General features: G+C 47.8%; 3 long non-coding RNA genes across 3 annotated transcripts, besides 9 other annotated features; 2 read left to right on the top strand and 1 right to left on the bottom strand.

Moving 5' to 3' along the window:
- The first annotated feature begins 1,192 nt into the window (after positions 1–1,192).
- LINC03108 (long intergenic non-protein coding RNA 3108) lies at positions 1,193–7,228 on the top strand. The gene is made up of 2 exons (NR_186308.1): positions 1,193–1,313; positions 1,626–7,228. It is a non-coding gene; the product is annotated as a long intergenic non-protein coding RNA 3108 (long non-coding RNA).
- Positions 1,931–2,434: an enhancer, noted in NCBI's record as "H3K4me1 hESC enhancer chr1:235115282-235115785 (GRCh37/hg19 assembly coordinates)". NCBI's record gives its function as "activates a minimal SCP1, AML or CMV promoter by ChIP-STARR-seq in naive H9 embryonic stem cells {active_cell/tissue: H9 hESC(naive)}" and the evidence as "EXISTENCE:reporter gene assay evidence [ECO:0000049][PMID:30033119]".
- Positions 10,789–10,948: an enhancer, noted in NCBI's record as "active region_2779". NCBI's record gives its function as "activates an Ori minimal core promoter by ATAC-STARR-seq in GM12878 lymphoblastoid cells {active_cell/tissue: GM12878}" and the evidence as "EXISTENCE:reporter gene assay evidence [ECO:0000049][PMID:35858748]".
- Positions 11,569–11,618: a silencer, noted in NCBI's record as "silent region_1983". NCBI's record gives its function as "represses an Ori minimal core promoter by ATAC-STARR-seq in GM12878 lymphoblastoid cells {active_cell/tissue: GM12878}" and the evidence as "EXISTENCE:reporter gene assay evidence [ECO:0000049][PMID:35858748]".
- Positions 11,709–11,768: a silencer, noted in NCBI's record as "silent region_1982". NCBI's record gives its function as "represses an Ori minimal core promoter by ATAC-STARR-seq in GM12878 lymphoblastoid cells {active_cell/tissue: GM12878}" and the evidence as "EXISTENCE:reporter gene assay evidence [ECO:0000049][PMID:35858748]".
- Positions 12,618–12,677: an enhancer, noted in NCBI's record as "active region_2778". NCBI's record gives its function as "activates an Ori minimal core promoter by ATAC-STARR-seq in GM12878 lymphoblastoid cells {active_cell/tissue: GM12878}" and the evidence as "EXISTENCE:reporter gene assay evidence [ECO:0000049][PMID:35858748]".
- Positions 12,698–12,867: an enhancer, noted in NCBI's record as "active region_2777". NCBI's record gives its function as "activates an Ori minimal core promoter by ATAC-STARR-seq in GM12878 lymphoblastoid cells {active_cell/tissue: GM12878}" and the evidence as "EXISTENCE:reporter gene assay evidence [ECO:0000049][PMID:35858748]".
- Positions 17,970–24,627, top strand: LNCATV (lncRNA negative regulator of antiviral signaling). The gene is made up of 4 exons (NR_125945.1): positions 17,970–18,202; positions 22,053–22,128; positions 23,891–24,290; positions 24,448–24,627. It is a non-coding gene; the product is annotated as a lncRNA negative regulator of antiviral signaling (long non-coding RNA).
- Positions 18,005–19,204: an enhancer, noted in NCBI's record as "MED14-independent group 3 enhancer chr1:235098512-235099711 (GRCh37/hg19 assembly coordinates)". NCBI's record gives its function as "activates an origin of replication core promoter dependent on BRD2, BRD4, P300/CBP and CDK7 cofactors, and independent of MED14, by STARR-seq in HCT116 cells {active_cell/tissue: HCT116}" and the evidence as "EXISTENCE:reporter gene assay evidence [ECO:0000049][PMID:35650434]".
- Positions 18,322–18,371: an enhancer, noted in NCBI's record as "active region_2776". NCBI's record gives its function as "activates an Ori minimal core promoter by ATAC-STARR-seq in GM12878 lymphoblastoid cells {active_cell/tissue: GM12878}" and the evidence as "EXISTENCE:reporter gene assay evidence [ECO:0000049][PMID:35858748]".
- Positions 18,392–18,691: an enhancer, noted in NCBI's record as "active region_2775". NCBI's record gives its function as "activates an Ori minimal core promoter by ATAC-STARR-seq in GM12878 lymphoblastoid cells {active_cell/tissue: GM12878}" and the evidence as "EXISTENCE:reporter gene assay evidence [ECO:0000049][PMID:35858748]".
- LINC02971 (long intergenic non-protein coding RNA 2971) lies at positions 21,980–24,770 on the bottom strand. Its single transcript, NR_186179.1, has 2 exons — positions 24,609–24,770; positions 21,980–22,272 (listed from the first exon to the last, which is right to left on the bottom strand). It is a non-coding gene; the product is annotated as a long intergenic non-protein coding RNA 2971 (long non-coding RNA).
- Positions 24,771–26,135: the final 1,365 nt, after the last annotated feature.

The following is a 26,135-nucleotide window of genomic DNA, read 5'->3' as shown; positions in this document are numbered from 1 at the left end:
TTGTTGATTGATTGATTTATGGACTCACCGGTGACTACTTTCAGGAACTGGTTGAATGGCATCTAGAAGCCTGCATGGCTCTGGTCATAAAGGATGACAGGATGACATTTGCCTATAACTGCAAGGCCACTTGCAGGCAGAATGCACGTCCCATGTCTTGTTGATGTCTGTGCAAGATCCACCTGATCTAATCTACCTGACCTCCCTGGCTCAAGGGATCTTCTTGCTTCGGCCCCACAAGTAAATGGGACTAAAGGCATGTACCACCAAGCCTGGGTAATTTTTGTATTTTTAGTAGAGACGGGGTTTCACCATGTTGCCCAGGCTGGTCTCGAACTCCTGGACTCAAGCGATCTGCCTGCCTCGGCCTCCGTAAGTGCTGGGATTACAGGCGTGAGCCATGGCGCCTGGCCTCCCTTGGTCTCGAATGGGTCTCCCCATTTCTTTCCTTTCTGGGATAGGAAGATGACAGCTTCACTTCAGCCAATGTCACCAAGAATTTCTCTCCCTTCCGAGATTGGAAGGTGACAGCTTCATTTCAGCCAATGCAACCAAGAGAGGCTTCGGGAAAGTCAGAAGATGGCTAACGCTGCCTGTGACCTAGTGCAAGGGGGAACTGGAAGCCCCCAGGGACGATGGTGGAGAAACTGAGAACATGGGGTGGCAACTCTGCCCTGCCAGCCTCCGTGGTGGACTCTTGCCACGACGAACAGCCAGGGTGGGAGAGGCCCACTGCAGGGAGCTACTCCTTCCAGGCCTGGTGCGCAGTGGTTTCCTGCCTTGCTAAATGGCCGTTGCTCGGTGGTGATGATTCATGGCATTTGGAAAGTGTGGCTGTGTTCTGAACAGGGAAGTGAAAAATAACACAGCCAAGGTCAGTGCAGGACAGGATAGGGGCTGTTACAAAATGTGCAGTTTTACTCTGAAAAATGCAGGGGGTGGGGAGCCACAGTAAACTCGGTCCTGGTGGTTCACACCGCGTGCGTGGCGCCCTGCTTGCTCTCCTTTACAGCATCAACTTTTCCGAGTGTCAGTCACTAATTTGTCCCTTGGAAGCGGCTGCTGGTCTTGGCTGAGCGGCTGTGGGTAGGAGGAAGTGGATGCGTGATTCAGTGAGTGTCTGCTTCCTCTCTGACTCAGGATTGGATCTGTTTCTGAGGGTGGTGCCAGGGGGCACAGTGTGGCTTTAGCTAGATTCTTTGAACTTGGAGTCAAACCTGAGGCTCTGACCCCTTGTAGCCGCTGGCCCTCCCTTGACCCCTTTGGATGAGTGAGGGGGCTCAGCTGGACCCTATGACCTTGCTTCACATTGGGTAAGCCTTCTGACCTGAGGCCTTCCTGTGGTTTCAGCTGAGAGAGGCTAGTGACATAGAGAGCCGAGGCAAATCCTGGATCTGTGCCTGCCTCAAGAGCTCCCTCCTTTGTGGGAGTTGCATTTGGGGGAGCAGCATAGTTCTCAGGGGCTCCACCTAGGCAGGCGCTAGACTGATGGAGGAGGCAGTTGAAGGAGGAGGTAGTTTTCTTGTGGTCCCTTTGTCTATTTAGCCAATGATACGATAGGAGAGGGTCAGGTGGGGAGCTGAGACATTCCGAAGTGAAAAGTCAGGATTGGCTTTTTCTTCTAGAGCATGGAGTTTTCCAAGGATCTGTCACTAGTGTGCCGTCTGAACAGACATCGCTGCTGACACCTAAAACCTCTTCTAAGAAACACTCCAATTATTCAGATAATTGCTTGTGCCTAAGACTGTATAACCTAAGAGTCGGGTGCAGGCTTGATAAAGAATTGGAAGCCCTCTGCAAAACTGCTACAGGTGTTCTGTGTTCCGACGCCCTCCATCACCTTGGACAGGGGTTCTTCTTCCGGCCCAGTCTCTCCCATTTCCTCTTTTCTCCCTCCATCTCCTCCCATTTGCTTGGCCAGAGCAGAGGCTCGGCTGGTCTAGTTCAGGTAGGATGGCCAGCATCCAGTCACTGCCATATTCAACAAGGACTTGAGAGCTTCTAGAGAGAGAAATGCAAGTCAAACCAGCCTGGGCTTTTAAAAGGGGGCTTTGTGTGACCCTGGACACCTGCAACTGGGAGCCAACACTGCCACGTGCTCTCTCTTTTCTCACGCCTCAACTTCCTCTGAATACTGATCTAAATCTCTTTGCTAAGCTTCCTCTCTATGGCAGGTAATGTGCACGATGGCAGCTTTTGCTTATTGTACCTCATGACTTCACTGCCAGAAAGGGACAGAGAGGGGCCTTCACGGCCTTCACTGGGGCCAGGTGACCATCATTGGCTCAAACACTGCGGCTTGGGAAGAGCTGAACTGATGCCTGCTCACATCTGGACTCTGATTTGTGCTAGGGAGGGGGTACTTTCCAGAAGAAGGGGCCCCTGTCCTGGAAGACATACAATGGAGCCCACCACCGTGGTGCTGAGAGCTATTCCCAAGTCCTAGGGCGCAGTGGGCCCTCCTCCTTCGCCTCTGCTTCCCCTGCCTGGCAGTGAGGGGCATGGCCTGGGGGAGGGGTGACATCTGTCCACAGAGCCCATTGTTTTTTGGCTTGAAAATCCATAGGAAAATGGGGGTTTTTCTCAGCTCCCTTTTTTTGGAGTGGGGGCAGCAGCCGTGTGATTTTCTGAGTGGAATGCCTTGGAGGATCTAAGCGGTGAGTGAAGGAAGAACAAAAGAACCATTCTCAGAAGCATGGCAAAAATGAAACCAAATAAAAACCCCATAAAAATCCCTACCGGGGCAGAGGAAATACCAAGCCAGTGCTTTTGGAGTGCAGATTCTGTAATAAAGGAAAGATTCATGGATACGCTGTGCAACTTGCTTATGTTTGGACTGGAGGGAGAATGTGCAGGAACATGATATAAAAGAGTCATCCAAGAAAGGGAGGCATCGCTGTGTGCATTTGTGTTGTGTGTTGTTGCAATTCAGGAGTGGACTAAGGACTGGGGTTCATGGGGAGCCTGAAAGAGACACTGGACTGGTTCAAAGTTTGTGCACAGCTGCGGAGATCAGATGACTGTCAGCTGGGCCTGCCCCCTGCTGCCTCTGCTTGATTGCAGGAGGAACTCTGACCTTGATTTAGTCACCAAAACACCCATCTGGAAAGCTCTTTGAAGATTGATTAAGTAAACACTCACAGCACAGACAATCATAATTGAGTGACGTAGCTGAATTATCTGCAGTGCGTGGAAGAATGCACTGATGAGAAAGCTCAGGGGCATGTTCCCTCTCTGTTCCTCTAATTTGGCTTCCTTACTTAGGGGTACAGTTTCGGGCACCGGGAGTGTTTTGAGGGGATGGCGTGGAGGATGTGGAGACTTTCACTCTCATTTGGCAGGGTGACACTATCCCAGGCATAGAACACCACCCGTCACCGCACTGCAGCTGGTGTGGCCTGTGGCAGGTAGCGCTGTCCGCACAGCTGACCTGAGATGCTGCCTGTAGGGGGTTTCAGTTCTGCTTTGTGACTGTGGGCTGCTGTGAGCCCACTTTGGGAAAGGGCTCACAGATGGGGAAGGCCTGGATTTCATCTGGGAGTGCCTCACCTCTCTGCACGGTGGTTCTGCTCTAGGAAAGAGCTGGTGGGCCTCTGTGGGCATGAAGCAGTGGCCACGTTAGTTCCCTAATGATCTCTGCAGCTCCGTGGGAGATAGAGATGGGAATAGGCTGTCAGCTCTGGACTCGGCTTCTGGACTTGGTATGCCTGGAGTTTGTTGAGTCCTCTGGATTCGGGGAGCAGTTTTGATGTTCATTCAATTCATTCATGATTGATCCATCCACCTATTCACTCACTCACCAGGGCTATCATTTCATCATTCAATCACGTTGAGATAATGTCTCTCCCACTTTTTCTCTCTCCTGCCTGGCACAGTGCCAAGCTTCTGCCAGGGCTCTGCACATTTGTTTACATCTCTTCCTGCTCTGCTTTTGTTGTGGTTGAATATCTAACCCCCAGGACCTCAGAATGTGACCTTATTTGGTGATAAGGTCTTTATTTATTTATTTACTTAATTTTTGATACAGAGCCTCGCTCTGTTATCCAGGCTGGAGTGCAGTGGCGTGATCTCAGCTTACTGCAACCTCTGCCTCCCGGGTTCAAGCGTTCAAGTGATTCTCCTACCTCAGCCTCCCAAGTAGCTGGGATTACAGGTACATACCACCACGCCGGGCTAATTTTTGTATTTTTAGTAGAGACTGAGTTTCATCATGTTGGTCAGTCTGGTCTCGAACTCCTGACCTCAGGTGATCACTTCAGTGATCCCAAACTGCTGGAATTATAGGTGTGGGCCACTGTGCCTGGCCAAGTGTGAGGGTCTTTAAAGAGGTGATTAAGTACAAATGAGGTCACGAAGATGGGCCCTAATCCAATATGACTGGTGTTCTTCTAAGAAGAGGAGATGAGGACATAGACACACACAGAGGGAAGCCCATCTGAGGACATGGGGTGAAGATGGCCATTTCCAAGCCAAAGAGAGGCCTCAGAAGAAACCAACCCCGCCGGCACCTACACCTCACACTTCCAGCCTCCAGACCGTGAAGAAGTAAAGTTCTGTTGTTTAAGCCAGTCTGTGGTACTTTGTTATGACAGCCCGGGAAAATGAATACAGCCTCTCAACACGTTCACTGAGCATATAGCCATCTGCAAGTTATTCTAGATGATCTACAGATGAAAGTAGAGAAGTACAGGAAAAGAGGAACGGGAACGAGCTCATCTTTTCTTCTTCATTTTCTCCTCCCAAACCCTCCCTACTCAGCCTCTCCTTACCTCTACCCTCAGCAGAAAGCAGAAACTTAGGGGGAAATGAAACAGAGTGCTCTCCAGCAGATGCCGCCCTACGGAAGCTCTGGAATAGAATGGAGACCCTTCAGTATAGAATCAGAAGCATCATTTTCTTTTGGCTGTCCCCCACTCTCCAAGTTTGTTTTTAGCTCACGTGTATACACACTCACGGCCAGAACACACACATGGCCTGACGAAGCAGCCGCATGTGTGCATCTCAGAAAGACTGGGAACAGGGACCCCAGCTGTTGTGGACACGCTGTGACTGTGTGGCTGGCAGTGTGTTTGCCAGTGTTTGCCAGTCCCAGCTTTATGGGGCATGGTGGCTGGAAAAGGCTGCAATAAAATGATTCTCTGGGGCACGAATTATGTCACTTTTTGTCCTTTGTGTGCAAAAATGATGGCAATGTTGTGTTTCCACACAATTGCTACAGGACTGTCCTTTGATTTATGGCCCTGGAGGATGGCTGTGTGCTCTGATCTCTTTATCTGCAGGAATCACCAGCTCATTTCATTCTGAAATCATCTTGGGATCTCTGGAAACACCCCCCAGTCTTCAAACCTGCTGCGCCTATTAACAAGCCAAGCCCATTTAAAACAGGCTCAGTATGGAAGACTCAATATTCCTCGTTCTTCTACAGTATCTACCATTTTGGATCAAAGACATTTTTCACCACTCAACACAATAATAATCCTGTCCCATTGGTCGTTTTGCAATCCTGGCTTAGTTCGCTGATTTTAAAGGGAACTGGGATTCCAAGAGCTCAGTGTTGACCAACGGGTCCCGTGTTGCATAGTACTGGGTCCCCAGAGGACTTTGGCCAAGATGTGACTGCCAATGTGGCTGCAATCAGCTTCTTTGTGCATGCTGGGGAGTGAAATTTGCACATCACATTCACTTTTCCCTCATATCCATAGTGGTGTTTCTGAAGTCTCGTGGCATTTCTTCATTTAACGTTGATGTTAAAACAAGCTTCCCTTTCTTTTCTATGTCTATTCCAGTGATGTTCTGAGGGCCAGCCCAGCAAGAGTGTCCCAAAGCCTGGGTATGCTCAGCTTCTCCTGCCCCACTTCCTCCTGCAGTGCCTTCCTTTCCTGGCCTCCATTTCTGCCCCTCGGCCCTGCCTTCTTCCTCTTGCTCCCTGCTTACTCCCAAGCAGAATCCTCTTATTTGATGGGACCTAGGGTGTGCCCTACTCCTGAGGTTAGCTGCGTTTTAGATGAGTGCCTCCTGAATATCCTAAGCTTTCAAAATCCAAAGAAATTATCTCCCAATGCTTGAACGGAGCCAAGGTTTTCTACCTGGACTGGTTGGGCAGACAGGTCTACTCTGCTTACTTACATAACCAGGCAAGGTGATCTGCTGGGTTCTAAGCTGCACCCCTTCCTCGGTGTGTGTCTGTCTGCATGTTTGGCTGATGCGCAGACGCCTTCTCAGGTAGGTCTGGGGTGATGCAGGCTCCTATCACTCAAGGGTATGAATCTTGCTGCAAATGGAGACTGATGTGGGCTCATGGTGCCATCTCACTGCCACCTTCCCCTAGCCCCAGAGCTATATTTACTAGTTAGCCAATAAAAACAAACAAATACTACAGGTCTACACGCGTTCAAACCCTTGCTCTCTTCTACGCTTTCATTTCATAAATGTTGGTACATCCAGAGAACGGAACTGAGCCCACAGCCATGTACAAGCTTTTCAGTGACCTGATCACTTCCAATCTGCTCTAGCCAATGAGGATTCAGAGCAGTGACCCTTAGATAAAAGGCTTCATTTGGCATGAGTCATCCGTGGAGACATCCAGCCCACTTGGTCTGTGTTAAGTGCCTGGTTCCTGTAAATATTGACAGTTAGAAACCATCCCAAGAGCTACCATGCAGTGAACTGGAAGGTAATCTACACGAACATGACCACTGATTAGGCAATGCTCATTGTTTGCTAAGATTCAGCCACTGATAAATATCACCCCATTATCTCTCTTCCCAATAGCGGCTCATTTACTTGTGTGTGACTCATAGTTGGTATTTTATGGGGTCTGATTCAGCAAGGAAAGTTTGCTGCAACAAAGAATGACCTCCAAGGCCACTTCAACTTCTAGAATACTGGCTTCTCAACAAGAGTGGCCTGGAAAAGCTAAAGGGGGAGTCTTTATCATCAAGGAACTAAAGGGGGTATGGAGGGATATAGAGCAAAAGAGTGTTTGTCACCAGTCAAAGCCGATGTGTTAAAACCCACTTATCCCCATAGCCACACTTCCATTACAGTTTATCTATGGATGCCAGTGACCTGCAAGAGGCTCCTTCTCCTTGTTCAAGTCACTTTGGGCTTGTTAGCTCTATCTCGAAGAAGGGGCAAGGATAAACCTCTACCCATGCAGAAGCTGATTTTACCTTTTGCTCTTCCTTTCTGACTGCTTAAAATAAATGTATCATTACCTGAATGTCTACTGATGCTTTCCAGTGGTTTTGACTGCTTGGTTTATTGAGCTTTACTATGTGCAGGAACTTTGCATTGAACCCTAGTCTTTATGAATGCCCTTTGTTTGTTTCCTACATTTGCTGTGGGCTGAGGGTCAGAATCAAGCTTTTCAATAGGTGGGTTTTGAACATGGGCCTTTGGCAGACTGTGTGCAGCTGAAAAGCGCTGTCCTGAGCTGAGGGTGAGCGCGCGCGCGCACACACACACACACACACACACACACACACACACGACCATCGCCCTTTTGCATAATCACTTGGATTTACTCTGTGTTGCCCTGAAGTAGGGGCTCTGCTTGTGTGGACCTGTCTCTCCATGCAGGCCAGCACAGCGCCGTGAAGGAGGCATGGATTACCTTAATGGGAGCCATCTCTTTGCCACTATCTATGTGACTTTGGGCAAATTACTTAACTGCTTTAAGCTCAGGTTTCTTATTTGTAAAACAGGAATAATGATACCTACCTTGACGGCTAATGTGAGTAGAGGTAATGTATTTAACACACATGGCTCATAAAAATGGCTCAATAAATTGCAGTGATCTTCAGCACCAAGCCACTGTAAACATTGTTTCTGCCAACAATAAAAAGCGGCCTACCAGAAGCCAGAAGTGCTATAAACACTGTATTAGCCCATCAAGGAGGTATTATTATCCAAGGCTTGGACTCCAGCTGGCCAGGACTAGAGAGCATGCACTGGCTGTTACCCGTGCCACCTTCCAGGGACACTGGAGGTCATGACTGCGTGTGTGTGTTTAGGGAGGCTAGCAACTTGCTGTGTCAGGTGGCCACGAGGGCATCTGCTTCATCTTTGCCCCCATCACGGGAGCACAGACTGGTCTGTGTGCTGTTAGCCAAACAGCTTCTCAACGCCCTTGCTAAACCACCTGGCAGTGGCTAAGGGCTCTGTCTTTTGTTCAGGTTGATCACACACCTGCTGAGTTGCAGAGTCCAGTGCGTTCTGGAGCTTATTCATATTCCATATTTTTAATGGCATGCCCATGGGTGGGTAATAGGAATCCAGTCTGTTGGGATGTATGGGCATGGGGGTCCAGGGTCCGTGAGGAGTAGGCAAGAAGCTCAAGTTGACAGCCAACTCCACTCTGTCCTGGTAATCAGAGGGCAACGAGCTGTGTTCAAGCAGAAGCTCCTCCTCCAAGGTCCCTCCCACCTCACCCCACTCCACCTCTCAGGGAAACATCTTACATGAGAGGGGGATATTTCAAATGATGCCCCTGGAGGATTATTTTTATTAAATGTACACCTGTGGTGTCAGGGCTGTAATAGCATGTTTGGAAGAAAGAATAATTCAGTAGAGCAATGGTGTAGACCATGAAGGAGGGAGAATTCCCCTGAAGTGACCAAAAAATGACTAAGGTGCATTTCCAGGAGAGGAAACGTGAGGTGGAGGAAAATGATCCCTGTGACGATGTTGAAAACAGAGCCTGCTCAGCCTTAATAAACCAGAGCTGCTGCGAGGCACCAGCGCTTCAGTTGGGTCAAACCAAAGTTTCCTGCTCTTCTCATAAAGGTGAGAGAAGGTCCGTGGAGGCCACCAAGGACAGGCCCGTTGGCATCACTCTGGCTACCTCAGTCCCTTAATGTCCTGGAAAACTGGAGTCTGCTTCCTCAAGAGCCCAGCGGTTGCCCAGTAAGGCTGGGGCCGGAAGCACAAAAGAACCGCCCTCGAAGCCTAGGGATGCCAATTCTTCCCTTCCCTCCCGCAGTTTCTGCGGGAAGGAAGGAGCAATGGGAAGGAGGTGGCTAGGCCAGCTTTTGCTGCCTGGGATCAGAGCCATTCCACCCTCGGCCCCCTCAGGGTCTCTGCACGGTAAGTCAGCAGGAGAGCAATTGTCTCCTCTCAACAGTGACCGAGGCGGGCAGAAACTACAGTGGAGGTCAGACTTAGGCAGGCAGGGCCACTAAAGAACCCACTTTGCCAGCTTGGAGTTACACATGGGTTGCTCTTGGTTGGATACATCTGCTTCAAATCTTCCTAAACCCTTCAGGTCCAGGATTTTCTTCTCTGGTGCCCCAAAGAGTCGACATACCCTTAACCTAGTTCCTACTTCCTGGGGTTGCTATGAGAACCAGCCGAGATGATGTGTGTCAGACACTCACCGTGTCCAGCACGTGGCAAGTGTTCAAGCTCGTTACCGAGTGTCATTATCATCAGTCATCATGTCAGACTCCTGGTTTGGGTTTACACTTTAGAAGTCTGTTCTCTTCCAAACTGATCCAGCACCAACCCCATCCACCCCCGAGAAAGTTTCAGCTCCTTTTTGCTTTGTTTTCTAAACCAATTCATTCCTGTAATTCATTCACTTGCTCATTTGTTCATCCGCCCAATCCTTATTACATTGGTGTGAAAGTAATCACGGTTTTCACCATTACCTTTAGTGGCAAAAACCCCAATTACTTTTGCACAACCTAATAAATATCTACTGTGTGCTACGCTCTTATGTGCTTATGATGCTGCTATGCACCCATCCCTCCCCCAATACACACACACACACACACACACACACACTTTCTTTTTCAGGTTCCAGGTCTCATTTCTGAGTAGATTCATGTGACCTTGCTCCATTTTCTCGTGCGTGTATTTTTTTCCATGGCAGATACGCTTTTCACATGAACCTGGTGTCTGCAGCATTTACAGCATTTAGAAGCTTTGGTTTACAAAGTGCTCTAAAGTTTACACTTTAGAAGTCTGTTCTCTTCCAAACTGATCCAGCAGCTCTACCCCCATCCACCCCTGAGAAAGTTTCAGCTCCTTTTTGCTTTGTTTTCTAAACCAATTCATTCCTGTAATTCATTCACTTGCTCATTTGTTCATCCGCCCAATCCTTATTACACTGGTGTGAAAGTAATCGCGGTTCTCACCATTACCTTTAGTGGCAAAAACCGCAATTACTTTTGCACAACCTAATAAATATCTACTGTGTGCTGTGCTCTTATGTTATCTGCTTATGATGCTGCTATGCACCTATCCCTCCCCCAATACACACACACACACAAGCACACACAGACACAGAGGTTCTTTTTCAGGTTCCAGGTCTCATTTCTGAGTAGATTCATGTGACCTTGCTCCATTTTCTCGTGCATGTATTTTTTCCATGGCAGATATGCTTTTCATATGAACCTGGTGTCTGCAGCATTTAGAGGCTTTGGTTTACAAAGTACTCCCTGTTCTAAGGTTCTCTGATGCCCTTGCTGTCTAGATCAGGGAAGGGATGAGGGGGAAGCCAGTACACCCCACATGGAGAAAACCAGGCCTATGTGTACTCTGGGCCCCGCTCCTTTCTCTGCCTGCCTGAAACCACACTTGCAGTCAGCACGTCAGAACCCGCGAGGTCAGGATAGATTCCTGCTTTTAAAGAGCTGCCTGGGCAAAGAATGTGAGAGTCACATTACTCTAGAGACCAAATGGCAATTCACAGCCACAAAGGGAGTGGCCCACTCCACCAATCCTCACCCTGTGACTGTCGGGCCAGACCCCTAGGGTGTCCACGGCTGCCCCTGTTGAAACAGTGGGGCTGACAAAAGCAATTTGAAGGGGAAACAAAAGTACTGCAGGGTCAGGTTACAAATGTTTGCCTAGACTTGGAATCCTTATTCTAGAAAGTTCTATGCTAACCCATGGGGGCAGCTGTTGCTGCCTTTGATGAGTAGAGAAAAACAACTCTAGCTGAAGGGGGGTGAGGGGGAGCAGAGCCAACAGAAATCCTGGCTCAGCAGTCCGGGATGGGTCCCACAAATACAGTAGCCAGGGAGCAGGGCGCATGCTCTCCAGGATCCGATTTCAGGCCAGCTGGAGCAAGAATGTGTTCTTCGCCACAGGAAGAATGTTCCCTCAGACAGAGCTGCTAACCGGGCAGGATGGAGGGAAGACCATACCGCCAGTGGTGGTGACTGCACTTCCCAGCAGCCTTTCCCCCTTCCTTTCCTGGGTAGCATGTATTTTTGTGTTGCCAATTTACCCACCTCCCACAATACTCTTCATTTTTTAAAATGTGGGAATTTTTCTGAGCCTGTGAGCTATGTTGCAAAACTATGAGCACATTTCCACAGTTACCCTATGTCATCTGTCTCTTTGACATAAAGAGGGAAGGAGGAGGGTGGAGAGGGAAAAGGAGGGAGAGAGGGAAAGAAGCAGAAACGCGAGAGAAACATTTTGCTGACGTCAAAGAAGACCACACTCTACAGGATAGCATTACTTGTACCTCAACCACCCACTCTCTCTAATTTACTAGAAACCAAACGGACTGTTTAGAAGCCCTCAGCCTGGCAGTCTGGGTTGGGTTTTTCTGGGGGGTGGGTTGGGGCGGGGGTTGTTTTATTTTTTTGCTATTCTCCTTTGACCAAAAGGGCCATTAATTGTTGGGAGTTTGAAAGCTACCTGATTCCATGAAACAGAGGGGATTTCCATGAGTAATAATTCAGACCGTGCTTGTGTAGGGCGCTGTGGCTCGAGTAAATTGATCCAGCTGCTTGCAAAGCTCATGGAAAACGGCCCCGGGGAGAGGACGGCGGCGTCTGCAGCTGGGGCAGCTGCGGCCGCTGCTGGCGCTGTCACGTGGTCCCGCCGGCGTCCGCCCCCTGCGTCCCATTCCCAGCTCCAGGCGCCCCCCATCCCCCGCTGCCCGAACCCCCGGTTCCTCGAGAGGTCGTCGCCTTGCAGCCCTGGCTGATTTCGAAGGCTAAAGGCGATTCTTCAACACAAGTAGCAACCTCTTTTTGGGAAATACAGGATTCTGAGTCTGGTTGAGGGTGGCCCTAAGCTCCCTCTCGAATGTTACCCTTTGGTGCGCTGGCGTGTTTGTGCTTCCAGAAGCATCCCGCGGTTCTGTTGTCCGGACACACCAGGACCTATTTGCCAATAAAATCAAATCTGGCAACAGTCACCTGTAACCCGAGGCTACAGAAATACCGATTCCACTACCCAGATGGTAGAGTTCAGTGTGTTTGCTGGCTAAGGCCGCACAAGTTAATTTTTATCCTAGTAAAAAATAATAAACACTGCATTAGCAACTAAATGTTTATCAATTTGCAGTTCATTTCCAGCCAGATCATTTCGCTCCTGCATGTTTTTACTGCTAGCTGATGCACTGGAGTGCTTTTCCCCAAACCATATGTGGCTATTTAAGTCTTAGCCTCTGTAGCATTTATATGGTGCTTTTCACTTTAATTGGATAATATTATTTGGCTACTTCAGCCATGGTCTTCAAACATCGCGTTTTAGTGATAAAGAAACTGCAGTAAAGAAAGATTAAATGAGTTGCTGGGGAATCATCCTGCAGTTCAGGGGTGAGGCTAAACAAGGAGCCACAAGTTTATATGTAGCACAGACCTGTGTGGGCTGGACCACGTGGCTGAGCAGGGCTGAATTTGTTGTGTTTCTTTTCCTCATCTTATGGGAAGATAATATTAGAGGAAGTGGCAGAGAACAACTATCTAATGGAGTTAGCAACCCTGAATGGGAAAAAGACGCATGGGTGAACATAAGCAATGGTAGCATGTTGAGAGCCTGATGGAAACTCAAGTGCCTTCAGCTGCCCTACAGCTAAGCCCTCTGCAAATGCTTTGGCTATTTTTGTTATCTTAGCGGCATTAGAGCCACCATTGGGTAGTGTCATCCATTGTTTATTACTAGACTGTCATAGCCAGAAACAGTGATTTGGCTAAGACAAAATGAAGCGATGGCTGTCCTGGGATGGTGCAGATGGTAAGCCCTCCCCGTCTCCCAGTATGAGTAGAAACCTTTATATTGCCCCTTGGTTTAGGGCAGATCTAAAGCTGCTACTTTGGGGAAGACGAGAGTAAAAAAGAGTCTTCAGGGCAGAAGGCAGAATAAGTCAGATCTACGTTCCACCTTTATTATCTCTGTGGGAAATAACTCACTTTCTTGAAGTCTTAAGTTTTTCTCCCCTGAAAAAGTGAGGGGATAGTAGGATGTCCCTCACAGGGCAGGTGTGCACTTCAGGGACGTATATACTCAGGGCCTGGCATGGTGCCTGGCATCTGGTAGACACTGAAGAAGTACTGTTTCCAGGAAGAGTAGGCTTGGCGGAGGCAGGTAGGTGATGGGTTGAAGATACCATGTATGTAAGCCCAAATATGAGGCAATGCCCTATTTCCCAATTGGTAGGTTACACACATTTTGTGTCCTTTGTTGTTTTTTTTTTTGCCATCTTGAATGTATACTTTTTTTTTGTTTTTCAGATGGCGTCTTGCTCTGTCACCCAGGCTGGAGTGCAGTGGTGCGATCTCGGCTCACTGCAACCTCTGCCCTTCTGGTTCAAGCAATTCTCCCTGCCTCAGCCTGGTGAGTAGCTGGGATTACACCATGCCTGGCTAATTTTTTTTTTTTTGAAACGGAGTCTCGCTCTGTCGCCCAGACTGGAGTGCAATGGCGCGATCTCGGTTCACTGCAAGCTCCGCCTCCTGGGTTCACGCCATTCTCCTGCCTCAGCCTCCCAAGTAGCTGGGACTACAGGCAGCTGCCACCACTCCCGCCTAGTTTTTTGTATTTTTAGTAGAGACGGGGTCTCACTGTGTTAGCCAGGATGGTCTCGATCTCCTGACCTCGTGATCCGCCCACCTCGGCCTCCCAAAGTGCTGGGATTACAGGCGTGAGCCACCGTGCCCTGCCATGCCTGGCTAATTTTTGTAGTTTTTAGTTGAGACAGGGTTTCACTATGTTGGCCAGGGTGGTCTTGAACTCTTGACCTCAGGTGATCTGCCTGCCTCGGCCTCCCAAAGTGCTGGGATTACAGGTGTGAGCCACCGCGCCCGGCTTGATTTTTTTTTTTTTTTTTGAGATGGAGTCTTGCTCTGTCACCCAGGCTGGAGTGTGGTGGCATGATCTCGGCTCAGTGCAATCTCTGCCTCCCAGGTTCAAGAGATTCTCCTGCCTCAGCCTCCCGAGTAGCTGGAATTACAGGCATGTGGCACCATGCCTGGCTAATTTCTGTATTTTTAGTAGAGACGAGGTTTCACATGTTGGCCAGGCTGGTCTTGAACTCCTGACCTCGTGATCCACCTGCCTCAGCCTCCCAAAGTGCTGGGATTACAGACATGAACCACCATGCCTGGTGGCTTGAATATATACTTTTAATGATGTAAGTGAAATAGTCATATTTCTAGTTAAGAATTTAATTTATTGACTTGGTTACTTGTTTGTTTGTTTATTTATTTATTCGTTTGAGACAGAATCTTGCTCTGTCACCGAAGCTGGAGTGCAGTGGTGCGATCTTGGCTCGTTGCAACCTCCATTTCCAGGTTCAAACGATTCTCCTGCCTCAGCCTCCGGAGTAGCTGGGACTACAGGCACGTGCCACCCCGCCTGACTAATTTTTGTATTGTTAGTAGAGACAGGTCACCATGTTGGCCAGGCTGGTCTGGAACTCTTGACCTCAAGTGATTCGCCTGCCTGGACCTCCCAAAGCGCTAGGATTACAGGCGTGAGACACCGCGGCTGGCCAGTTATATTTAGAATCACATGCATAAATATACTTATTTAGGAATCTTGCTTTTTTGTTACTCATTATTCAGACTATTTATCAACAGTCTTTGTCATCACTTGTGCCCCCCATCTTTTTTTTTTTGAGATGGACTCTCGCTCTGTCACCCAGGCTGGAGTGCAGTGGCACAACCTCGGTTCACTACAACCTCTGCCTCCCAGGTTCGAGTGATTCTCCTGCCTCAGCCTCCCAAGTAGCTGGGATTATGGGCGTGTGCCGCCACACCCGGCTTATTTTTGTATTTTTAGTGGAGACGGGGTTTCACCATGTTGGCCAGGCTGGGTCTTGAGCTCCTGATCTCAGGCAATCTGCCTGCCACGGTCTCCCAAAGTGTTGGGATTACAGGCATGAGCCACCATGCTCAGCCTTGTGTCCCTTTTTGAATGATCTGACTCAATCTTCCAGAATACTTCATCTTGCTTCTGTCCAACTGCCTTTGAGATTTCGGACTTTTTGAGTCTGTATGCTATGCTCACTGGAAATGTTATCTCAAGCCTTCATAGCCATGTGCTATTTGCCATCTCCACAAAGCTGACTTCTTGTATTGCTTTTAAAAGGGATCTTCATGGGGCTATGTAAGGAAATATTCATGCATTTTAGAGGTGCATACTAAAGTAGGAAGGAGTGAAATGGCATGAGGCCTGCGATGCTCTTTAAAAGATTTCAGCAAAGAGAAAAAAAGTAAAACACAATAAATGAAGCAAACATCAAAAAATCGAGTAATTGTTAATCGAGTGACAGTTATATGGAGAGTCACTGTGCTATATGCTCCTTTTGTCATAATAAAATTTTAAAATATAAAATAAACATTGTCATAATAAAAGTTTAAAATGGGCTGGGCCTCGTGGCTCACGCCTGTAATCCCAGCACTTTAGGAGGCTGAGGCAGGTGGATCACTTGAGGTCAGCAGTTCTAGACCATCCTGGCCAACATGGTGAAACCCTGTCTCTACTGAAAATACAAACATTAGACAGGCATGGTGGTGGGCACCTGTAATCCCAGCTACTCGGGAGGCTGAGGCACGAGAATTGCTTGAACTTTGGAGATGATGGAGGTTGCAGTGTGCTGAGATTGTGCCACTGTAGTCCAGCCTAGATGACAGAGCAAGACCCTGTCCCAAAAAAGAAAAAAAAAGTTTAAAATGAGCTTTAAAAGACTGGCTTACAGGCTGGGTGTAGTGGCTCACACCTATAATCCCAGCACTTTGCGAGGCTGAGGTGGGCAGATTGCTTGAGTACAGGAGTTTGAGACCAGCCTGGGCAACATGGTGAGACCTTGTCTCTTAAAAAAAAAAAAAAAAGAAAAGAAAAGGACTTGCTTACAATATCTCTCATGCTTGTAATTGGAGGTCATACCTTCAAGAATAACTACAAAAGCTTTTATTTTTCTTTGTATTAAAAAACCAAATCAACAAAAACTATTCTTCCAGACAACCTCTATAAACGTTCCAAACTAAAATTCATGAGATTCCCTTCAGAGTATTTTGTTGTTCCAAATAAAGAAATTCTGTAATATAAAGAGCTTTTTAAGACACAGATATAAGGTGATGCCTTATACTTGCCTATCCATCCTATTTTTCTCTATGCTTTGCTGGTCTGAGTAGACAGGGTTGGTAATGACCCCAAATGGAACACTTCTCTAAGTGATGGGAAGATCTCATGCAGTGTCCTTCATCAGAAGTACCCATTACCTAGTGCCCTTGTTGGCACTGGAGCTGGAAGGCTCAGGATAGCAGGGAACAGGCAGCCCACAGTCCTGGAAGCAGGCCTGGTGGCACAGGCCTGGGTATGGAGTGTCAGTGGTGGCAGAAGAGGGGAGTCACTGTTTTCTTCATTAGTTAATGCCTCTCCCCTGGAGGGAGGGCAAGAGCTATGGTCTACACAGCCAAAGTGAGAGGGTGGTTGAGCAATTCTCCAGCAAACTCAGGCAAAATCAGGCAAGCATATTTAGGCCTAGAAGTCCTGGTTACCACAGCCTAAAGTGATAGGGACAGAAAGTGAAAGGAACAGAAAACCAGTCTGTATTTGTTTTATGTGAATTTTGGAGCAATGGCTTTTCCAAAGGAGGAAAGAAGAAGTTATTCTTTTTAAAACACAGTTGAAGAAGAGGATGCTTTTCCTATGGACATAGTAGGCCATTTACCAACGAGTTATTAAGATAAAAAATACCTACTGGGCCTGTGTAGGAAGCCTGGAATTCTCTTACTTTATTGTATTTTCCTCTAAGGATATATTGCGTTATTCCACAACAGGCTGGTCATAATCTTTGAGAGATTTACTTCTGAGACTTTTTGGTGTGGCTTCATTCACACTTCACATTTCCTAAGAGAGACAATTTTGGCTACTTTGAAAGAACCCTCCCTCAAACATAAACATCACAGCATCCTGACTTTAGAGTGTCTGTCTCAACATTTCAATGTTAGAAGGTTTATTGGAATGCAGACAAATAAAATAAGATAAATAAAATCTCAGTGTGCTTAAACTGAGAGCAGGTTCTTTTTTGGAAGATGTGCGTGTGTGTGTGTGTGTGTGTGTTGATGAGCTAAGTGTTGATTATAACCCAAAAAGACGGAAAGTGTGAGATTAGATAAGTGTCTGCTAGATCCATTATTGCTGTGTGCATTCTGTGAAATGGGCTTAGAGTTCACTGGTTGTAGCTGCAGGATAAAGTTCACTTGTTGTTTATTCTCAGTCTGATTAGGCCACCATTGAAAACAGAATGTGAACTACTGTCCAGAAGCCCTCTGTGAACTTCAGGTCTGCCTTAGGAGGGACGCTTCCAGCGAGGGAGCGCGTGATGAAGTCTGCAGGCATTGCTGGGGCAACGCTAAGTGGCCGCTGGCCAGGGTAGAAGTTAAACCAGGAGATGGCTGTCAAATGCAGTTGTTAGGTGTGGCACATCTTTCTCAAGCTGCTGAGCTGAGCAGGAAAGAGAGACGTTTGTTTATGGATTTATCTCATCTATAAGACACTCTTATTAGATGAACTCTATATCAGTTCTATGTAGAACTCTGTACCAGTTCTATAAGGCACTCTTTAATCTGAATCTTTTTATTTGCTCAAGAGAAAAATAAGTCTGACTTGCATCCCATTGAAGATTTAGATTGCACTGTTTACATCTTTCACCTGCGCCGCGGTAGCGTCCTCTACCGATGCTATCCTACGTTGATTTTTCCAGCAACCTGGGAAGCAACCTCATAGGTGGTTTGGGATGTCTTTTGGCTGTGCTTAAAAATTTCCAACAGATTTGCTACACATCTTAGGATAAATATGTTTCCTGTGAATTGTGATGATTTCTTACAGTACATTTGCAAGCATGTGTATGCATCTGCAGGAAACATAGCCTGGCTCTGTGAAGGAATACTGCTGTGACCGCAAAACTGTTTCTGTAGAATTTTCTCCGGTGTGGTCATCCTGCCTTCAGGTCAGTGAATAGATGGTGTTTGGACAGCGTCTGGCACAGATACTTTAACCTTAAAGCTTAATGTATAACTGGTATTTTTTCCCCCTTCTGTGTCAGCAATTGGCAACGGGACACTGTAAATAAGGATTCTGGTTTGTAAATGGACGTCTGTTCCTCCAGGGGAGGGGAAGGCTGGAGTAAGCAGTTTTGAAATTCATGCTGCAAGTGATAAGATAATTTGAGTAACCTGTAAGACCTGTGGATTCACAGGTTTCAAAAACAGGAAAGTCTCTTGTTTGAAAACCCTCTAAAGCAACATGTGGGCTTAGAAAAGAAGCCGGCTTGTGGTTTGGTGATTGTACTTCCTTATTGATATAATGGCCGCTGACGCAAGGCCTCCTGGGATTGCAGCGCGGTGACCGCAGGCCTGACGGTTACCCTGACCGGGTTCTGAAACAGCCCGGGGCTTTCAGCACAGATGAGAAGTCTAAAAATTTCCCTTTTCATTTCCTCTCTTGTGTGACTTTGTCATTTTTAAAAAAACTGGTCACAGAAAAGGGAATTTTGCCCATGCTTTTAAGGAGTTTATCTCGACTGAGTAGCTTCCCCGCCACTCCTCTAAAATCCCTCCTCAAAAACCCCAAGTTAAAAAAAAAAAAGATCTATTCTTGTAGATTTTTTTTGTGTGGGTCTATGTTTCATTCATCTGCTTTCAGGCTGGATTTATAACAAGCAGAACTTTTAAAACGGTATGATTTTAAAATAAAATTAAAAAAAAAACACGCTGAGATCTTTCCATAGCTTTGGCTTCTGGGAGTTGAAAGCGCAGGTACGTGCTACATCTTCTGGAAACCTAACCCTCGCACGCCAAGCGGGAGGCTCTTTTGGTCAAATACTCCCAGGACTTATGCTTGAGTTCTGAAATAAGTGAAAGCAGATGCCATTCCTGTGCGACATAGCTAACTGACCGCAGCCCAGAAAGTTCTGTTGGCTAGCTGTGTGGGGGCTGTCTTAAGCCCTGAAAACATTCTGCATCAGAACTCAGCTTCAGAAAGGGGTTCCTGCTCTCCTGTCTGCCCTGGAGATAGTCACGCATGACAGCTTGTGGGCTGACTGAGCATTTAGGCAGCTGCTTTTCCTCTCTCCCTCCAGGAGGAAAATAGAGCAAAAAGGTAGAACTTACTTCCACACCCAAGTTTCTCCTGAAAGCACTGTGCCTGTTTTGTTTGCTACACATCTTGGGTATGTATGTTTGCATCTATGCATGCAGGCATGCATGAGTTATTTATGTGTGTTATTTGGTCCAGCCTTGAAGCTCCTTTTATTTTTCAGTGAATTGAAAGAAGGTAACCTTTGGATGTATATATTTTAGTGCTCCAGCAGATTACCAGTGAAACATGCCGACTCTCACCAAACCACCCCATGTTGCCAAATCTTCTCTCTTGGCCCTGATGATGTGCAACTTAAAACCAAGGTCCAGGTTGACTGCACAGCAGAGTTTACTGTTCGCTCTCTCGCTCTCTCTCCTCTCTCTTTTTTTCTGTAAGCCCAATAAATCTGCCCTATCACGTCATTGAGGCCACAAGGAAATGTAATCCTGCCAAGTGTGGGAGTTAACAAAAACTGCCAAAGTCTTAAGGTTGCAGAGAGAGCAAGAACCACTTTCTGGGTTACGCATGTCTACTGTGTATGTGCAGGGGTGCCATGTGTATGTACCGCGTGTGTGTGTGGGTACTGTGTGTGTGCATGGATGCTATGTGGATTCACCATGCACTACCATGTGTGCATGAGCACCATGTGTGTACACTGAGAGTGTATGTGGCTAGCAGGTGTGTGTACTCTGTGTACCTGAGCACTGTGCGTACCTGTGCACTGAGCCTATATATGGGCATGTGTTTATAGCATGTATGCATGTGTGCTATGTGTATATACCATGCACTTGCACACATATACTGTGTGTGCAGCACACCAGATGCCACAGATATGGTGGCGGGAGGGTCAATGACAGGGAACTGGGGGGAGGCAGGTGTGAGGCAGGCCTGCTTGGGAACAGGTAAATCACTTAAGGATGCAGTGCTTTTCATCTGCTTTGCTGCTCTTTTCCTCTTAAGCAGCATGCGCTGAGATTGCAGAAACCTGAAAGATAGGGAAAGTGTGTATCCCATCTCCCCTTCCTGCCTGACTCTCAAGTAAGTTTTCTTTAAGTATCTTTTTTCTTCAGCTTCAGGAAAAAGAGGACCTTAGAACTGAAGGAGCAAGATTCCAACATCACACTGTTTTTGTTAGCTGTGTGTGTGTGTTTCCTGTGTATCCAAAAGACAGAGGAGATGAAAAAGCAAAAGAAAAGAAACGAGGAATCAGATTGGAAAGAGTATGAGTTTGTACTTATGAAATAAAACTTTTATCTCTCTACACAGGACCGGGAGTCTGTCCCAATTTCCTGTCTCTAACCTCACTGGAAGTGCTGACCCACTTCTGGCTATTTTTATGTGTTTCTTTGAAAATGCTTACTGTGATTGGAGTTGACTTGCCGACTCTGTTCTGCAGCCTCCCCACCACCTGAGTCCCAAAGGGCGGCCCTTCCCACCTCACGCCCAGTAATTATGGGTGAGCGCAGAGCCAAAGGATGGCAGGGCTTTGTTGGTGGTGCGACCAGCGGGTGACCCCTTTCCTCGCAATCAGAGACTCAGGGACAAGCAGCTTGCACCTGCACGTGGAGCTTTGCACACGGCCTTTTGCCTGATTTTCCTCTTCGAGGCATGCCCCCTCCATGAAAGATGGGCATCTTCCCATGTTCCGGAATTCTTGGGGGTGCGCTGATTCCAGGCTCTCGCCCCAGCTTTGGGCCCAGGGCAGTGAGCATGTGTAGTTACTTATCTAGGATTGCAACCTGAGTCAACAGTGAAACCAGGAAGTGAACTCGGGGTCCGGCATTGTATGGAAAGTTGGGTGTATTTACTTTTCTCTTAAAGCAAACTTTGATTGACTCTTTAATAAGTTACCATGGAGGATATAGTTCTGGTGAGATTTGACTTGGCATCCAAATCTAAGGCACATATTGATAATGGAGGAGAGGAACAGGGAGTCTTTTATGTTTTTCCAGTTTTATCATTAACCCCAAGTTCAGAAATCTGTTTGCTTTTAAAAGTGTCAGTTTCCTCGTTTAGGAAGGTGACAGTTCTCTACTGATGATGAGGTTTTTTTTGTTTTTTTTTTGAGATGGAGTCTCGTTCTGTCACCCAGGCTGGAGTGTAATGGCACGATCTTGGCTCACTGCAACCTCTGCCTCCCGGGTTCAAGCGATTCTCCTGCCTCAGCCTCCCGAGTAGCTGGGATTACAGGCATCCACCACCATGCCTGGCTAATTTTTTGTATTTTTAGTAGAGATGGGGTTTTGCCATGTTGGCCAGGCTGGCCTTGAACTCCTGACCTCAGGTGATCCGCCTGCTTCGGCCTCCCAAAGTGTCGGGATTACAGATGTGAGCCACCGCGTCCAGCCTGTTGAGGTATTTTGATGTCCTTTGTGGAAAGGCCTTATCACCTGGCTGGCACACAGCACTGTGGGAACCTCTGGTGGGGCTGTGTGAGGAATTAGGGTGACCTTGACTTCAGCCAGGCCATGTGGGTCTTGACTCTGTCACTTACGGTGTCACCTGGGGAATCCCTTCCCTTCTTTGGCCTCAGTGTCCTCCTCTGGGAAGTGAGGGTAAAAAGTCTCTCCCTTGTAAGGTTGTTAGAGGGCTCGGCAAGGAGATGGATGTGGAGGGGCCTGGGGTGTGGAACATAGCATACACTTGGTGGGGCAAGCTATCAGGGTTATTTATTACTTAAATCATTTTAATTGTGGGTCATAAAATTTCTGTTTTTCCAGAGGTTTCTCCAGGACGTCACCTGTATGAGGTACACAGTGTGATGACACACTCTGTGCTTTTCCTACTTGTGTCCACGTGAGTGTCTGGAGCTGCCCTTCAAGGAGAGCAATAGATGAATGATTCTGCCTTCCCGCTGAGAGGGATGTGGGTCCTGCGGATGGTCGGGGTGAAGCTTCCTCTCCTTTCTGCTGACAGCACTTCCTCATTAAATGCAGAGATCTGCAAAAAGGGAAAATAAAAACACAAGAAGAAAAATGAGGCATCAAAGACCCTCCTCTTATGCCCATGGGGATTTGGAGGACGGGTTATTTCTTTGCTTTCCCAAAGGGCCCAAGAAGAGCTTCCGGGGAGAGGGAGAGCACCCTTTTTGAGGATTCCCGACAAGCCTGTCTCCCGAGGGCTCCTGTAGGAGAGGCGGTAACTAGGGCGCAGATCATTTTCTGTGTTAAGGGCATCCAAGGAGAGAAGAGAGTGACCGCCTATGACTTGGGAGGCCCGTAAAGATGGGGTCCTGGATGAGCAGTAGCAAGGAGGGTACGGGGATGGGTGTGCCTTGGGGGCTGGCAGTGAGGACGGCATCGTCCCTAGAGAGTTTAAAGACAAGAATCAATCCAGCTCCAAGTGAGACTGCTTTTAAACCATTTTAATTGCCACACACCAGTAAGTTCAAGCAATATCAGTGATAAAATCTCCTTCCGTTGGGCAGCCAGTCCTTCTGCACCCTCCTGGTGTGTCCTGAGTAAGTGGGGTAGGGAGGAGCTAGTGTGGCCCGAAGACAAAGGAACCCGAGATATTTCTTTCCTCTTCCAAGCAAGAGAGGCTGGAGACAGCACATGAGTGTTCAGGGATCCTTGGGGGTCAAAAGAGTCACCTGAGAGAAAGGAAGAGAGGGGAACTGCCGCAGCTCAGTGAGGGGAACACCGCAGGCTCTGCCTCTCTTCCCCGGCTGTCTGGGAGGAGGGTCTGGAGTGGAGTCCATGAGGGGCTGGGCGGGGCTGGGGCCCTACTTTGGAGGGAATATGGTAAGCAGACTGTACAGCCAAGCAGACAGTCCTGGAGGTTGAGGGCGTGACAAAGAACTGTAGCATATTCTGTGTGTAAAGACACCTTTGCCTTCTGTCCTGACCCGCAGACAGGTGCTTCTCCTGCCCTGCCGTGCTTCTGCCATTTCTGGTGGAAATAGCTCAAAAGACCCCTGCTTATCCACAGAGCAGGGGCATTTACCCATTACAACCCCCTGGTGAAGTGACACGGTTATGCCCATTTCACAGACGAGGAAATTGAGGCCCAGAAAGGGGCAGGAAACTTCCACAGCTGGGAAGCGGTGGATCTGGGACTTGTTTGCCCCAGAGGCTGCCACCCTGGCACCTCACTGCCCTCAAAGGCTGACGGTGCCCCCAGCAGCTGTAACCATTTCTTTCGAGTGCTTTTCATTGTGTGGAAGATCATTTTGGGGGGTGCACAGAGCTCCCAGCTTATTGTGATTCAGCAAGACCCTGGCGTGTCACTTACGGGAGGTGGCCTTGCTGGGCATAGTGCCGGCCAGCCAGAGACCCTCAGTGAACAGGGGGCGTTTCCAGAGGGCCTGGTGTTTTCTGCATGGCAAGACTCCTACAGAGAGGCTGACCTGGTTTTCAGAGAGCAGTTTGCGTTTCGGGTGGCCCTGGGGGCACATGTTCCCATTGGATTCCTGCACTGGAAGTAAGCTTGTGGGGCCGGGCTGCCAGCAGTGCCTGCCTTGTACCAGGGCTTTTTTGGTATGGAAAACTTTAGAGAGGCGTCACCACCACCTCTTTTTTGCTCAGCATTTGCTCATCTCTCCCCACCTGCTTTTCAGGGCTCAAGCCTGGAAGAAGCCTTAGGACGTGGGGGAAATGTCTAACGTGGAGTCCACCTGCTGAGCAGGACCGGGTGTGAAGGAAGAAGCTTTGTTCTGATTCCTCATGGCCCAGCCACCCCTCGCCTGAGCTGAGCCTGGCCACAGGGCCCGCCTGCAGGAAGGGCTGGCCCATGGCTTCACACTGGGCTCAGGCTGCGCTAAGAGCCCCGGGTGAGGACCTCCAAGCCCAGGAAGCCTCAGTTGGCCAAAGTGCTAGATGCGTGTGGTCTGCTTTCATCCCCGCTTCCCTCAGAGCTTGCATTTTCCAAATTCAAGAGAGGCTCCACCTTCAAGAAGACCGGCCTGTCCCTGTTATTTATGTGTCCCCCTACCATATCTCCCTTTGTTCTGCAGAGCGGTACGCATAAAAAGCTTTTGGGGAAGGGGAGAAGTGTGGCTCAGTGACTTGCACAGGAAATTGGAAATTGGATCCCCAGGTCTACCCCCACTCCTCTGACTCATGCTTAAACAAACCCAACACATGCCCTGACCTTTGCTCTCTCCCTCTATTGCAGGCCATACCTGCCAGCAGCCTGCTCTCCCGGCCATGCTGCGGTTCACAAAAGTCCAGCATTTGGCTAGCTTCCTGGGGGAATGAATCTTTCAGAGCCAAACTAATGCTATGCATGCAGCTTATGATTTTTTTTTTTTTGTCTTCAACAAAGTGAATACTTACTTTTTTTTTGCTCTTTAAATTGTCATCCATTATATTCATCAACACAGAGAGATGGAACATTTGGCAAAATTATTTTAAGTAGCACTCCAACCTGTGATCGTAATTTCAAATCAAGGAATTTGCTGAGCAGCTGTGGGGAAGAACAAAAGGCCTGAGAGTGATTTAGGGCCTGGGGGAGGGGAGGCGGTGGAGTTGAAGGCCCCAGCCGGTAGCAGAAACAGCTGGGGAGGTAGGTTGTGCACACCCCGTGGGGGAGCCGGCCTTCTCAGCCCTGCCATCCCATCCACACGTGCCTCATCAGAGAGTTTTCGTCTCCTGAACATACCACATGCAGCACTTTAAAATAGATAAACTAAGAGGATTCAGATTCAGTTTGATACCCTCGCTGAGAGCTTCGGCTCGGGAGTTGGACAGGCCTGGCCTTGAATCCTGGCTCTGCCTCTCACCAGCCTCAGTTGCATCATCTGTAAAATGGGGCTAATGTAGCAATCACTTCGCAGATATTACTATGAGGTTGAGTGTTTATTTGACCCAGTCACTGGCATAGAACAAGTGTTCAAAATACTATTATTATCACCAATATGCAGAAATGTTCAATGTATACACTCGGTTTTTGCAACCAATTTATTCAATGAACATCTATTGAGCACCTGTTATGTGTTAGGTGCAGGGCTGGGTGTTGTGTGGGTACAAACACATAAAGCATAGGAATTAATATGCTATTAGATAAACTAAAAAGACTTCTATTGACTTAAAAAGTAATAATGACTTCTAAGCATATTTAAGTAATTTACGAAAGAGCCTTTCTTTTTTTTATTTTTGAGATGGAGTCTTGCTCTGTCTCTCAGGCTGGAGTGTAATGGTGCTATCTCAGCTCACTGCAACCTCTGCCTCCCGGGTTCAAGCAATTCTTGTGCCTCAGCCTCCAGAGTAGCTGGGTTTATAGGCGCGTGCCACGACGCCCAGCTAATTTCTGTGTTTTTAGTAGAAACGGGGTTTCACCATGTTGCTCAGGCTATCTTGAACTCATGACCTCAGGTGATCCACCTGCCTCGGCCTCCCAAAGTGCTGGGATTACAGGTGTGAGCCATTGCACCCGGTCAAAAGAGGCTTTCTTAACAGATGGTCTATTAGAAGCAATTTGAAAAGAAAATATAGAGTTGAAAAAAATAAAAGGGAAGCTGCATTCTTTTTAATTGTTTTTGAACTTGTTGCTTTTCAACACAGCTATTATCTAAATTAACTTAATTTCTTAAAATAAGCCCTGCTTGATACCCGGGAACCTTCAATCAACTAATTTGCAGATAATCAGACCTATTTACAAATAGTCTGGTTTGTCTGAGTGACTTTCAGTGACACATGCATACTCAGAAAGGGTATCATTTGCCAGGGATTAGTCAGTTCTGCTGAATTACAGTCTTCAGAATGAGAAGTCATCTAGTTCAACCTTTCATCCTTTTAATAGAATTTCTGGTGGATAACAGCTGAGCTTCTCCTCCGACTCTGCTAGGAATGGAGAACTTACTA

Source organism: Homo sapiens, chromosome 1, assembly GCF_000001405.40.
Source record: "Homo sapiens chromosome 1, GRCh38.p14 Primary Assembly".
NCBI classification, from domain to species: Eukaryota; Metazoa; Chordata; class Mammalia; order Primates; family Hominidae; genus Homo; species Homo sapiens.
This window is presented reverse-complemented; position numbering and strand designations above follow the sequence as displayed.